Raw genomic sequence first — 12363 nt, 5'->3', positions numbered from 1 at the left:
AAATTTTTTGTAGAGACAGTGTCTCCCTGTATTGCCCAGGCTGGTCTTGAACTCTTGGGCTCAAGTGATCCTCCCACCTCAGCTTCCCAAAATGTTGGGATTACAGGCATGAACCCCTGTGCCTGACCAAATTACATTTTTAAAGGTATTTTTATGGTCCTTGCCACGAGTACTTAGAGGTAATGAATGACCAGGAATTAGTATTTAAAATTTTTCATTTCTAAAATGGGTTCTGCATTGTGTTTTCCCCTCCATCTTGCTATGTAAGATATGTTAGCTTTCTTTTGGCAAATACTTTTGTTGTCAAACATTTTTATGGTATTTTTCATATGATCAAAAACGGTTCTTAAAGTGATATAACCATATTTTCAGAATTATATTAGAGGAAAATAAAATACTGCTATAGAGTTCTTCCGCAGGAACAAAGGGAAAATTACTGCTGAAAACGGCCGGGCACGGTGGCTCACGTCTGTAATCCCAGCACTTTGGGAGGCCAAGATGGGCGGATCATCTGAGGTTAGGAGTTCGAGACCAGCCTGACCAACATGGTGAAAGCCCGTCTCTACTAAAAATACAAAATTAGCCAGGCCTGGTGTTGCACGCCTGTAATCCCAGCTATTTGAGACGCTGAGGCAGGAGAATCACTTCAACCTGGGAGGTGGAGGTTGCAGTGAGCTGAGATCGTGCCATTGCACTCCAGCCTGGGCGATAGAGCAAGACTCTGTCTCAAAAAAAAAAAAAAAGTAATAACTACCGAAAGCAATTACCTGGCATTGTATACTTGGGGATAATTGTGAATTGTTCTCCATAGGGAACTGCTGTTTTCTGGTATAATCTGTTTGCCAGTGGAGAAGGAGATTATAGTACACGGCATGCAGCCTGTCCAGTGCTAGTTGGCAACAAATGGGGTAAATATTTCATATATTCTGCGAAGATAATGTAATTTTTGTTTCTTATTTTGGAACTATTATCTGTGTCTTAAAAACAAAAGCCCCCATGTTTGCTTAATATGATTTTAACATTGTACAGGATTCAGCCAAACAAGTGCCTAATCATAATACAAATTTGAAATCAGAATTTTGATGACAGATTTTATTTTTAACTATTTTTACTTATTCCAAGAAACAATGACTGACTCAAAATTGAATAAGACAATATCTTCCCCTCAAAGGGTTAATAATCTGATTGAGACATACTAATGGATTATAATGTAGTACATATTAATACAAAAATGTAAACAGAAGATGGTGACTGCCTAAGTTTGGGGAGTCTTCTTCAAAGCTTTTTCTTTAAATTTGGTCCTGAAGATAGAACAGCAGTTTTCCAAACATGTTAGATACCAGGTTCTAATGTGAGGCTCGAGTAGCACCTAATGTGCAAAATTTAAAGAGGCACTCACTCTCAGTCAGGGACATGCAAGTGCAGGACCACATTTTTAAAAAGTAAAAAGAAACAGGTAAAATTAGTTTTAATATCTATTAATTAGCCCCATGTATCCATTTCAATCTGTGTTACTAGCCACATGTTGAGTGGTTACATACAGGACATTACAAGGTTAAGGAGTGAGGCCTGATCAGGATTTTAAAATCTCCCCTTATGATTATAGTGTTTAAGAACCACTGGACTAGAATGAGGAGAGGCTAGTTGGTGAGAGAGAGTTTAGAAAGCTGTTTTCTGTTGTCTAAGTGGGAGATGATAATGGCCTGGATTAAAGCATCAGTGAAAGGGTTGGAGAGCAAATAGATTTGAGAGAGATGTAAGGAAAATTGTCAGGGTTTGATGAATAAAGTGTAGATACAAGGGTTGAAGAAGGAAAAAGAGTTAAGAATTAAGGTTCCTGCTTTAGATATTTTGACTGGGTTCTATGGTACCAGAGACAAAAAAAAAATAGAAAATTAACTGCTTTTGGGATACATTTTTACATGGTATACATTTTTTAAAGGTATTTTGGAAACTTGATGAGCATACAATAGCAATGGTTGATAAGAGAGTTGTTCCTTTAGAGTGCAAAGTTTGTGTTCATTATTGTCTTTGTATTTTGGAGGCTGTACTTTGAAAACAATACATAAAGCAATATTCTACTCTTACCTGTACCTGTATCTTAGGTCCATTTGTGTCTCATTTCAAGCCTCACATTGAACATTGGAAACTGTAAGAAATGCACATAGACTGGCAAATATACATGTGTATACATACATGTATGTACATACACGCACACAAGTGTGTACACATATGTATATAGGTATATAAAATCTGTGTTTTCAGCATTTAGCCAAGTTTTTAAGTAGCATCTGCCTTTATCCGGTTTTGGTGTTGAACTTTTATCCCATGATGAAACTTTGTTATAGACCTAGCTTTTAGAAACTAATTAAATACTGATTAGATTAAGGGGGAAAATTAATATATTACTTTTCTCTCACAGTATCCAATAAATGGCTCCATGAACGTGGACAAGAATTTCGAAGACCTTGTACGTTGTCAGAATTGGAATGACAAACAGGCTTCCCTTTTTCTCCTATTGTTGTACTCTTATGTGTCTGATATACACATTTCCTAGTCTTAACTTTCAGGAGTTTACAATTGACTAACACTCCATGATTGATTCAGTCATGAACCTCATCCCATGTTTCATCTGTGGACAATTGCTTACTTTGTGGGTTCTTTTAAAAGTAACACGAAATCATCATATTGCATAAAACCTTAAAGTTCTGTTGGTATCACAGAAGACAAGGCAGAGTTTAAAGTGAGGAATTTTATATTTAAAGAACTTTTTGGTTGGATAAAAACATAATTTGAGCATCCAGTTTTAGTATTTCACTACATCTCAGTTGGTGGGTGTTAAGCTAGAATGGGCTGTGTGATAGGAAACAAATGCCTTACAGATGTGCCTAGGTGTTCTGTTTACCTAGTGTCTTACTCTGTTTTCTGGATCTGAAGACTAGTAATAAACTAGGACACTAACTGGGTTCCATGTGATTGCCCTTTCATATGATCTTCTAAGTTGATTTTTTTCCTCCCAAGTCTTTTTTAAAGAAAGTATACTGTATTTTACCAACCCCCTCTCTTTTCTTTTAGCTCCTCTGTGGTGAATTAAACGTACTTGAGTTAAAATATTTCGATTTTTTTTTTTTTTTTAATGGAAAGTCCTGCATAACAACACTGGGCCTTCTTAACTAAAATGCTCACCACTTAGCCTGTTTTTTTATCCCTTTTTTAAAATGACAGATGATTTTGTTCAGGAATTTTGCTGTTTTTCTTAGTGCTAATACCTTGCCTCTTATTCCTGCTACAGCAGGGTGGTAATATTGGCATTCTGATTAAATACTGTGCCTTAGGAGACTGGAAGTTTAAAAATGTACAAGTCCTTTCAGTGATGAGGGAATTGATTTTTTTTAAAAGTCTTTTTCTTAGAAAGCCAAAATGTTTGTTTTTTTAAGATTCTGAAATGTGTTGTGACAACAATGACCTATTTATGATCTTAAATCTTTTTTAAAAAAATGTTTGTTTTCTGTGTGGTGTTTTTCGTATTTAAATCCGAATGTATGATGTGGCAGTAACAGGTTAACTTATGTAATTTCTTTAGTACATAGGGCTTAGGTTTATACTCTTGGTTTCCACTCACACTAATGTCACATGGTTAAGAAAAACTTAGGCTCTCTGAAGTTTCAGATATTTCATGAATCAAGATGTGCTTCCTTCAAAGAGAGCTCTAAAATACTTTACTGTGGTTATGAAGTTATTATGGGCCAGGCATGGTGGCTCACGCCTTCAATCCCAGCACTTTGGGAGGCCGAGGCAGGCGGATCACCTGAGGCTAGGAGTTCGAGACCAGCCTGGCCAACATGGTGAAACCCCATCCCTACTAAAATTACCAAAATTAGCCGGGTGTGGTGGTGCATGCCTGTAGTCCCAGCTACTTGGGAGGCTGAGGCAGGAAAATCGCTTGAACCTGGGAGGCAGAGGTTGCAGTGAGCTGAGATTGCACCACTGCACTCTAGCTTGAGTGACAGAGTGACTCTGTCTCAAAAAAGAAAAAAATTATTACAATAGTGGTACTTAAGACTTTCTCCTATTAAGAAATATGATGCTCTTTCCTAAGTGGCCTGAGGTAATCTGAAAATGGTTCGCTATTCACTTGACCCGGAGAACCCCACAAAATCATGCAAATCAAGAGGTTCCAATCTTCGTGTTCACTTTAAGAACACTCGTGAAACTGCTCAGGCCATCAAGGGTATGTATATACAAAAAGGCACGAAGTATCTGAAAGATGTCACTTTACAGAAACAGTGCATACCATTCCGACATTACAATGGTGGAGTTGGCAGGTGTGCGCAGGCAAAGCAGTGGGGCTGGATCTTCTAAGTTGATTTTTTTCCTCCCAAGTCCTTTTTAAAGAAAGTATACTGTATTTTACCAACCCCCTCTTTTCTCTTAGCTCTTCTGTGGTGAATTAAACCTACTTGAGTTAAAATATTTCGGTTTTTTTTTTTTTTTTTTTTTTTTTTTTTTAACAAAGTCCTGCATAACAACACTGGGCCTTCTTAACTAAAATGCTCACCACTTAGCCTGTTTGGGCCACAAGGTCGGTGGCCCAAAAAGAGTGCTGAATTTTTGCTGCACGTGCTTAAAAACACAGAGAGTAATGCTGAACTTAAGGGTAGATTCTCTGGTCATTGAGCATATCCAAGTGAACAAAGCACCTAAGATGCACCAACGGACTTACAGAGCTCATGGATTAACCCATACATGAGCTCTTCCTGCCACATTGAGATGATCTTTACTGAAAAGGAACAGATTGTTCCTAAACCAGAAGAGGAGGTTGCCCAGAAGAAAAAGATATCCCAGAAGAAACTGAAGAAACAAAAACTTATGGCACGGGAATAAATTCAGCATTAAAATAAATGTAATTAAAAGGAAAAAAAAAGAAATATGGTGTGGTAATAGCTGTGAGCTTAATGAAGTAAGTTAATTGATGCTTTAGACTATTTACATTACTTATGGTGAATCCTAGTTCACACAAGAGTTCTTTATACTTTATGCAGTATTTAAATACTGAAGGAAGAATTTGGTTTGATTCTCTGGGAAAGTAGGTATTTTTACCCACTTTTAAGTGAACTCTGAAGCTCCTTTCTTCTGACTAGCCTTTGTTCCAATATAAGTGTTTTAGAAATATGGAGAATTAAGTTCAGCACTTTGATCCACTCAGATTTTGTGACCATTGATGATTTTTAAAAAAATTTTTTAGTAAAGTGGATGGAAGCAGAAAATTCAAAAATGTAGACATAATATAGGGGTTCAAAGAATGGAAAATACTGTTTATTGCCATGTGTGTTATAGAAAGTAGAATACAAGTGTCTTTCAGAAGGAAATTACGTATTCCATAATCTTACAAATTTCATTATATTCAACTTGGAACCCCACGTGGGAATTATTAAACTCTTTCAGAATTAGATCATACAGAACCCTTTAAAGTTTTATAATTACCAATGATTTTTCTTTCCAAATGAAAAGAGGGAAAAATCCAATATGAAGCTTTTAGTTCCATTACTGCAATTCTGTTATTTCTTTTAATGCTGAACTTTCACATAAAGGAGGGCTGGAACTACCCTGGAAAATGTGGAAACTGTTGTTTCCTCACCAACCCTAAGCCTTTCCTTCCATATTGGAAGTTTCATCATTCATTAACTAACTTTTATTCTTATTAACTTTAAATAGGGAGTTATCACCAACATGGAGTTAACGGAAGTATCCACCAGAACATCTTAACAGTGGGGTAAGCAAATGTGATAACTAGATGGTAATAACCTAGTAATATTATAAAAAGAGCAGTGAACTGACTTTACGATTCTTTGGAAAGCTGAATGGTAAATGCAGTAATAAAAGAAGCAATCATCTACCTCAGTGAAATTATAATAAAATGGTTATTGGGCAGGCATGGTGGCTCATGCCTGTAATCCCAGCACTTTGGGAGGCCGAGGCAGGTGGATCATCTGAGATCAGGAGTTTGAGACCAGCCTGGCCAACATGTTGAAACCCCGTCTTTACTAAAAATACAAAAAATTAGCCAGGCATGGTGGCAGGTGCCCATAATCCCAGCTACTCAGGAGGCTGAGGTGAGAGAATCACTTGAACCTGGGAGGCAGAGGTTGCCGTGAGCTGAGATCGCACCAGTGCACTCCAGCCTGGGCAACAGAGCAAGACTCCGTCTCAAAAAAAAATAAAATGGTTATTACAGTGTGAGAGTGTGGAGAAGTTACAAATAGTAAATCAACACATATATATAATTTATAAACTAATATATGTGTGTGTGTATATAAATGAAATCTTATTGCTGCTTAAAAGAATCTAAGTATCTTTACGTAGCCATGTGTTGACTGCTATATGTAACTTCCATACCACTTAAGTCCATATAACTGAAAAATGAACAGCTTCTATGCAGAGCCCAATGGACTAAACTATTGAATGACTGGATTGCTGTTAAGAAATTTATAGGCTGGGCACAGTGGTGTATGCCTGTAATCCCAGCACACTGGGAGGCCAAGGTGGGAGGATCTCTTGAACCCAGGAATTTGAGACCTGCCTGAGCAACATAGCAAGACCCTATCTCTGCTAAAAATAAAAAAGTTACCCAGGTGTAGTGGCATATGCCTGTGGTCCCAGCTACTTGAGCAGGCTGAGGTGGGAGGATCCCTTGAGCCTGGGGGTCAAGGCTGCAGTGAGCTGTGCTTGTGCCACTGTACTCAAGCCTGGGCAACAGAGCAAGACCCTGTCTCAAAAAAAAAAAAAAAAAAAAACTGTGATTCTAAAACACATACACCAAATTATGATTAATTATAAATCACTTGAACAGACAGAATTATGAAATGAAGATTGCTGGGAGAAAGCAGAATGGGAAAAATGACATCTTAATCCAGATGGCCAGCAACACAAGGACCAATCTCTTGGCGGTGGTTATTTTTACTATAGTAAAAGTTAGTGTTTTAGAGGGAACAATATTGGGTAACTTAGACAAAAAGGAATGAGTTAATAGAGTACCATAAATTACCAGATTTATCAGAATAAAATTTCAAAATCCTGTGCTCCTAATGTCCTTGGATATTATTCAACCACTTTAATGATATTTTGCAAAATTAACTGTAGTAGACCAGTAAAGGTCTTTGGCTGCCTACTTTCTGAAATTTGAGGACTATGAAGTTTACTTTCTGTGTAAATGTAGCCTTAAGTTAAATATAAATTTCTACTCAGGAAAACTGATGAGAATGCCTTACTGTAAATAACATATACAAGCAGATGTTAAGTAAAAGGAGCAACCAAAAGGAGTGGAAGTCCTCCATCGTCTGCTTTTGAGGTCTTGTTGAACTTTCATTGTAGCACTGTTCTGTTGAAATTAGTTATGTGTTGCTTAATGAGAGGAAAATGCATCATCATTAGAAGATTGTTGTTGTGGGAACATCACAGAGTGTACTTACACAAACTTAGATGGTATAGTCTGCTACATACCTAGGCTATATGATACAGCCTATTGCTCCCAGGCTACAAACCTATACAGCATGTTATTGTACTGAATACTGTAACCAGTTATAACACAAAGCTAACAATGTATGTATCTAAACATAGAAAAAGGTACAGTATAGAGTATTTTAATCTACAGGACCACCACCAGATAAGCAGTCTGTCACTGACTGAAATGTTAGGTGGCACATGACTGTAGTGTTATATACAAAGCAGGATAATCACATAAGAAATAAACTCTAAAATCTGAAAAAGGAAAACTTCTCAAATTTTGTCAGTTGGTCTTTTCAATTCATAATAGGCTTATTTCTAAAAGAAATCTGTTTTAGGCTAAGCACTTCAAATTTGGAATAGAACATTTTAAATATAGATTGATGTACACTTTTACATTTCAGTGCTTTTTAGGGAGAAGGATTGTGTTTCAAGTTAGAAAAGGCATTCACGTAAGTCCAACAAAGAGTCAGAATTATCATAATATCTACTTTAAGTATAGTTGAACTCCATTCCAATGTGGGTTTTACCCAGGTTTTGATATATCATGAGTCATATATAAAATAACTACGTATGGTTAACTTATAATAAAAATCTCATCTTTTGATACATGCATGATAAATCATTAAGTCTGAGAAGACAAAATAACTTACATAACAGTTGAATTTAGTTATGTTCTATTTTTACTTTGCTTTTAAAAAGCAAAAAAGTGAGGTTCTGTTACATGAAACACCTTTTGACTTATGAGATAGATAGAAAAAAAGTAGTCCTTACTAAAAATAATCAGTGCTATCTTTCCCACGTTCTTTTCTTATTTCTGCAACTATGGAGAAAATAGTCCATGAAAAGTTCAAGTAAGGTAATATTAAAAGTGCTCTGAAACAGTGCTAGTCAGTGTGGCTTATAGATGAGCTGCCGTGGGGTTTCTTGTCCACAAAGGCATTTACATCAAAATAAAAATAAACTACATCAGTAAGTACCTCCTTCATTTAATTCAGTTGACTTTTTGTAGCAAGTCTTTCTAGATGAAGAAAGCAGTGTTATTTACATTATAGTATAAACTTCTAATCTCAGTGTAAACCAGAACTTTTCAGTAGTGTTGCTCATTTCCCTCCCTTGAACGGGAGGGAATAGAGCAGAACTTATTTCCAGCATTCTAACTCATCTGGGGGCTTCTTGAAAGAGTGTGTTTCACTTAACAGAGGGCTCACATGGGGAAAGGCAGCATGTCTGGGAAAAGCTGCACAACTTGAAGCTGTCACCCCAGGCTGCTCCCAAGGCTCAGAACACGCCTGCTAATTAGTGAAGGAAGGTTGTCCTCATCATGAAACCAGTCTGCAAAAACTGGGAGAGATGATTTTTTTTTTTAATTCCCATTTTTCCAGCAGAAAACCACAAGGCAAAAACAGGAAAACACCCATTCAAAGGGAGAAAAGGTGACAGAAACTGTCTCTGAAGAAACACAGTTATTAAATACTTAGAACACCTGTCTTAAGTATGCTGAACAAGCTAAAAGAAAACATGGACATAGAACCAGAAGTAGTCAGGAAAATATATGAACAAAATGAGAATATCAACAAAGAGATAGAAAAGGAGCAAAACGAATTCTGGAGCTGAAATGTACAATACCTGAGTTGAAAAATTCACTTCAACATCAGGCTAGAATTCAGATTGTTCCAACATTAAGATGTAATCCTCATAACTGCAAAGAAAATATGTATAGAATATAGACAAAAGGAAAAGGGTATCAAAAATACGTTACTAAAAAAAAAAAAAAAGGGGGTAGGGGGAGCCAGTAATGAGGCCAAAAAAAAAAAAAAAAAAGAAGCTGCCAGGGGCAGCAGCTTACACCTGATATCAACACTTTGGGAAGCTGAGGCAGGAAGATTGCTTGAGACCAGGAATTCGAGACTAGCCTGGGCAACATAGATGCCATCTTTTCAAAAAAATTAGCCAGGCGTGGTGGTACATGCCTAGTCATAGCTAGTCTGGAGGCTGATGCGGGAGAATTGCTTGAGCCTGGGAGGTCAAGGCTGCAGTGAGTTGTGCTTGTGCCACTGCATGCCAGCCTGGGCAAGAGAGCAAGATCCTGTCTGAAAAAAAAAAATCTTAAGACATGAAAACAAAAAGGCAAAGAAGTTCTTCCCCATCAGTGACTAAATGGATTAAACCCTGTGATCAAAAGATACACATTGGCATAATGCATCAAAAAAAAAAGGAGCTAACTAGATGCTGTCAATAAGAGACTCACTTTAGATCTAGAGACACAGGTTCAATGTAAAGGGATGGAAAAACATATTCCCTGTGGAAATCCCAATGAGGGTGCTATGGTTTTGCATGTGGTTTGTCCCCACCAAAACTCATGTTTAAATTTAATTGCCAATGTAATGGTTCTGGGAGCCTGGGCCTTAAGAGATAATTAAGATGGATTAATGTCTTTCCCATGAGACTGGGTTAGTCGAGACTCTTGCAAAAGCATGTTGTCGTTAAGTGGGTCATCCTCCTTTGTCCTGTCTCTTTTATATACACTTCTTTCCCCTTCTACTTTTCCACCCTATTATGAAGCACCGTGAAGCCCTCACCAGATGCCACCACCATGCCCTTGTAATTCCCAGCTTCCAGAACTGTAAGCCCAGTAAATTTCCTTATAAATTACCCAGTCTTAGGTATTCTGTTACAGCTACAGAAAAGACTAAGATTTTTGCAGAAATAGGAAAATCCATCCTAAAATAAGGAATCTCAAGGGATTCTGAATAGCCAACAATCTTGGTAAAGAATAATATTGGAGGTCTCACATGTCCTGATTTCAAAACTTAAACTACAAAGCTACAGTAATCAAAACTGGTACTGGCATAAAGACACATAGACAGATTAGAGAGCCCAGAAATCCTTGTAATTCAATAGCAAAACAATTAAAAATGGGCAAAGGACTTGAATAGGCATTTCTCCAAAGAAGATACACAAACATCCAATAAACACATGACAAGATGCTCAATATCACTAGTCATTAGGGAAATGAAAATCAAAACTATAATACCATGTCGGGATTACTATTATTAAAAAATAGATAATAAGTGTTGGCTAGAATGTGGAAAAATCGGAACCTTTTCATTACTAGGGGGAATGTAAAATGGTGCAGGCACTGTGGAAAGTGGCATGACAGCTTTTCAAAAAATTATACAGTTAACATATGATCCAGCATTTCCACCTCTGGAATTGTATACCCCAAAGAAATGAAAACAGGGACTCAAAGAAGTATTTGTACATCATGTTCATAGTAGCATTATTCACAGTAACTGTAAGTGGATGCAGTTAAGTTGTACATAGACAGGTGAATGGATAATTGTTGTGTATACACATACATAATACAGACAATGTTCAGCTAAAAGAGGAAGGAAATTCTAACGTTTCTTTAACATGCATGAACCTTAAAGACATGCTAAGTGAAATAAGCCAAACACAAAAGGACAAATATTGTATGATTCCACTTACATGATGTGCCCAGAGTAATTGAATTCATAGAAACAGAAAGGAGAATGATGTTTACCTCGGGGGAGGGGGATTGTGAGTATTTAATGAGTACAGAGTTTCAGTTGGGGAAAATGAAAAAGTTCTGAAGATGGATGATTGGTGATGGTTGCATAACAATGTAAATGTACTAAAAGCCAAAAAACTGTACACTTTAAAATGGTTAAATTGATAAATTTTATGTTACACATTTTATTGTGATTATAATATGTACATAAATTCTGATTTTTTATTGTGATTATGTATAATTTTATTGTGATTATGTATGGATACATATAATCCCAATAAAATATGTATCCAAACATAGTCACAATAAAAATATTATACATACATAATCACAATAAAAAATTAATCAGAATTACAGTGTGGTCCTGCAATTCTGCTTTTCTATGTATACCCTACATAATTGAAAGCATGGACTTGAAAATATATTTGTACATCCATGTTTATAGCAGCATTATTCACAATAGCCAAAAAGTGGAAGCCACCCAAGTGTCCATCTACAGATGAAGAGATTAGCAAAAATCTTAAAGGTGAAAAACAGGATAATTTTTTTTAAAAAAGTAAAAGACCTCAAAGAGACAGACATTGAAAATAAGCAAAGGCAGCCTGGGCAACGTGGTGAAACCCCATCTCTACAAAAAACTAGCTGGATGTGGGTGGCGCATGCCTGTAGTCCCAGCTACTTGGGAGGCTGAGGTGGGAGAGTCACCTGAGCTGAGGAGATTGAGGCTGCAGTGAGCTATGATCACAGCACTGCACTCCAGCCCCAGGCTGGTTGATGGAGTGAGACCCTCCAATGGGTCTCAAAAAAAAAAAAAAAAAAAAAATTAACACACACATAATGGAAGTCCAAAACAAAACCAAGGAAAAGAGCAAAGCTTTAAAATTATATTTTAAGAAAACTTTCCTAAAATAACTGTTTAAAAACCAAATATTGGAGAGCATATTATATATGTGAGAATATTGAGTCAGAATGACCAACACGAATTGATTCTTACAAAATTACCAGATATTAAAGAGGAGGAAAATTCTCTGGGAATTGAGGCAATAAAAGCACGTGACTGGGCCAGGTACGGTGGCTCACACCTGTAATCCCAGCACTTTGGGAGGCCGAGGTGGGTGGATCATTTGAGGCCAGGAGTTCAAGACCAGCCTGGCCAACATGGTGAAACCCTGTCTCGACTAAAAATACAAAAAATTAGCTGAGCATGGTGGCAGACACTTGTAATCCCAGCTACTCAGGAGGCTGAGGCAGGAAAATGGCTTGAACCCAGAAGACAGGTTGCAGTGAGCTGAGATCACACCAGTGCACTCCATCCTGGGAGACAG

General features: G+C 37.1%; 1 protein-coding gene and 1 pseudogene across 4 annotated transcripts in view; both read left to right on the top strand.

Moving 5' to 3' along the window:
- P4HA1 (prolyl 4-hydroxylase subunit alpha 1) overlaps positions 1–3498 on the top strand; it is an 89650-nt gene extending 86152 nt beyond the window's left edge. For all 4 annotated transcript variants that reach the window (NM_001142596.2, NM_000917.4, NM_001017962.3 and 1 more), the window contains 2 exons: positions 812–908; positions 2423–3498. In NM_001142596.2, coding sequence (NP_001136068.1) covers positions 812–908; positions 2423–2493 — 168 coding nt within the window. In that variant the 3' untranslated portion in view covers positions 2494–3498. The remainder of the gene's footprint in view (positions 1–811; positions 909–2422) is intronic.
- Positions 4102–4922, top strand: RPL17P50 (ribosomal protein L17 pseudogene 50; annotated as a pseudogene).

Source organism: Homo sapiens, chromosome 10 (assembly GCF_000001405.40).
Source record: "Homo sapiens chromosome 10, GRCh38.p14 Primary Assembly".
In the NCBI taxonomy this organism is placed as follows: Eukaryota; Metazoa; Chordata; class Mammalia; order Primates; family Hominidae; genus Homo; species Homo sapiens.
Note: the sequence above shows the minus strand (reverse complement) of the source record. Positions and strands in the feature narration are given on the sequence as shown.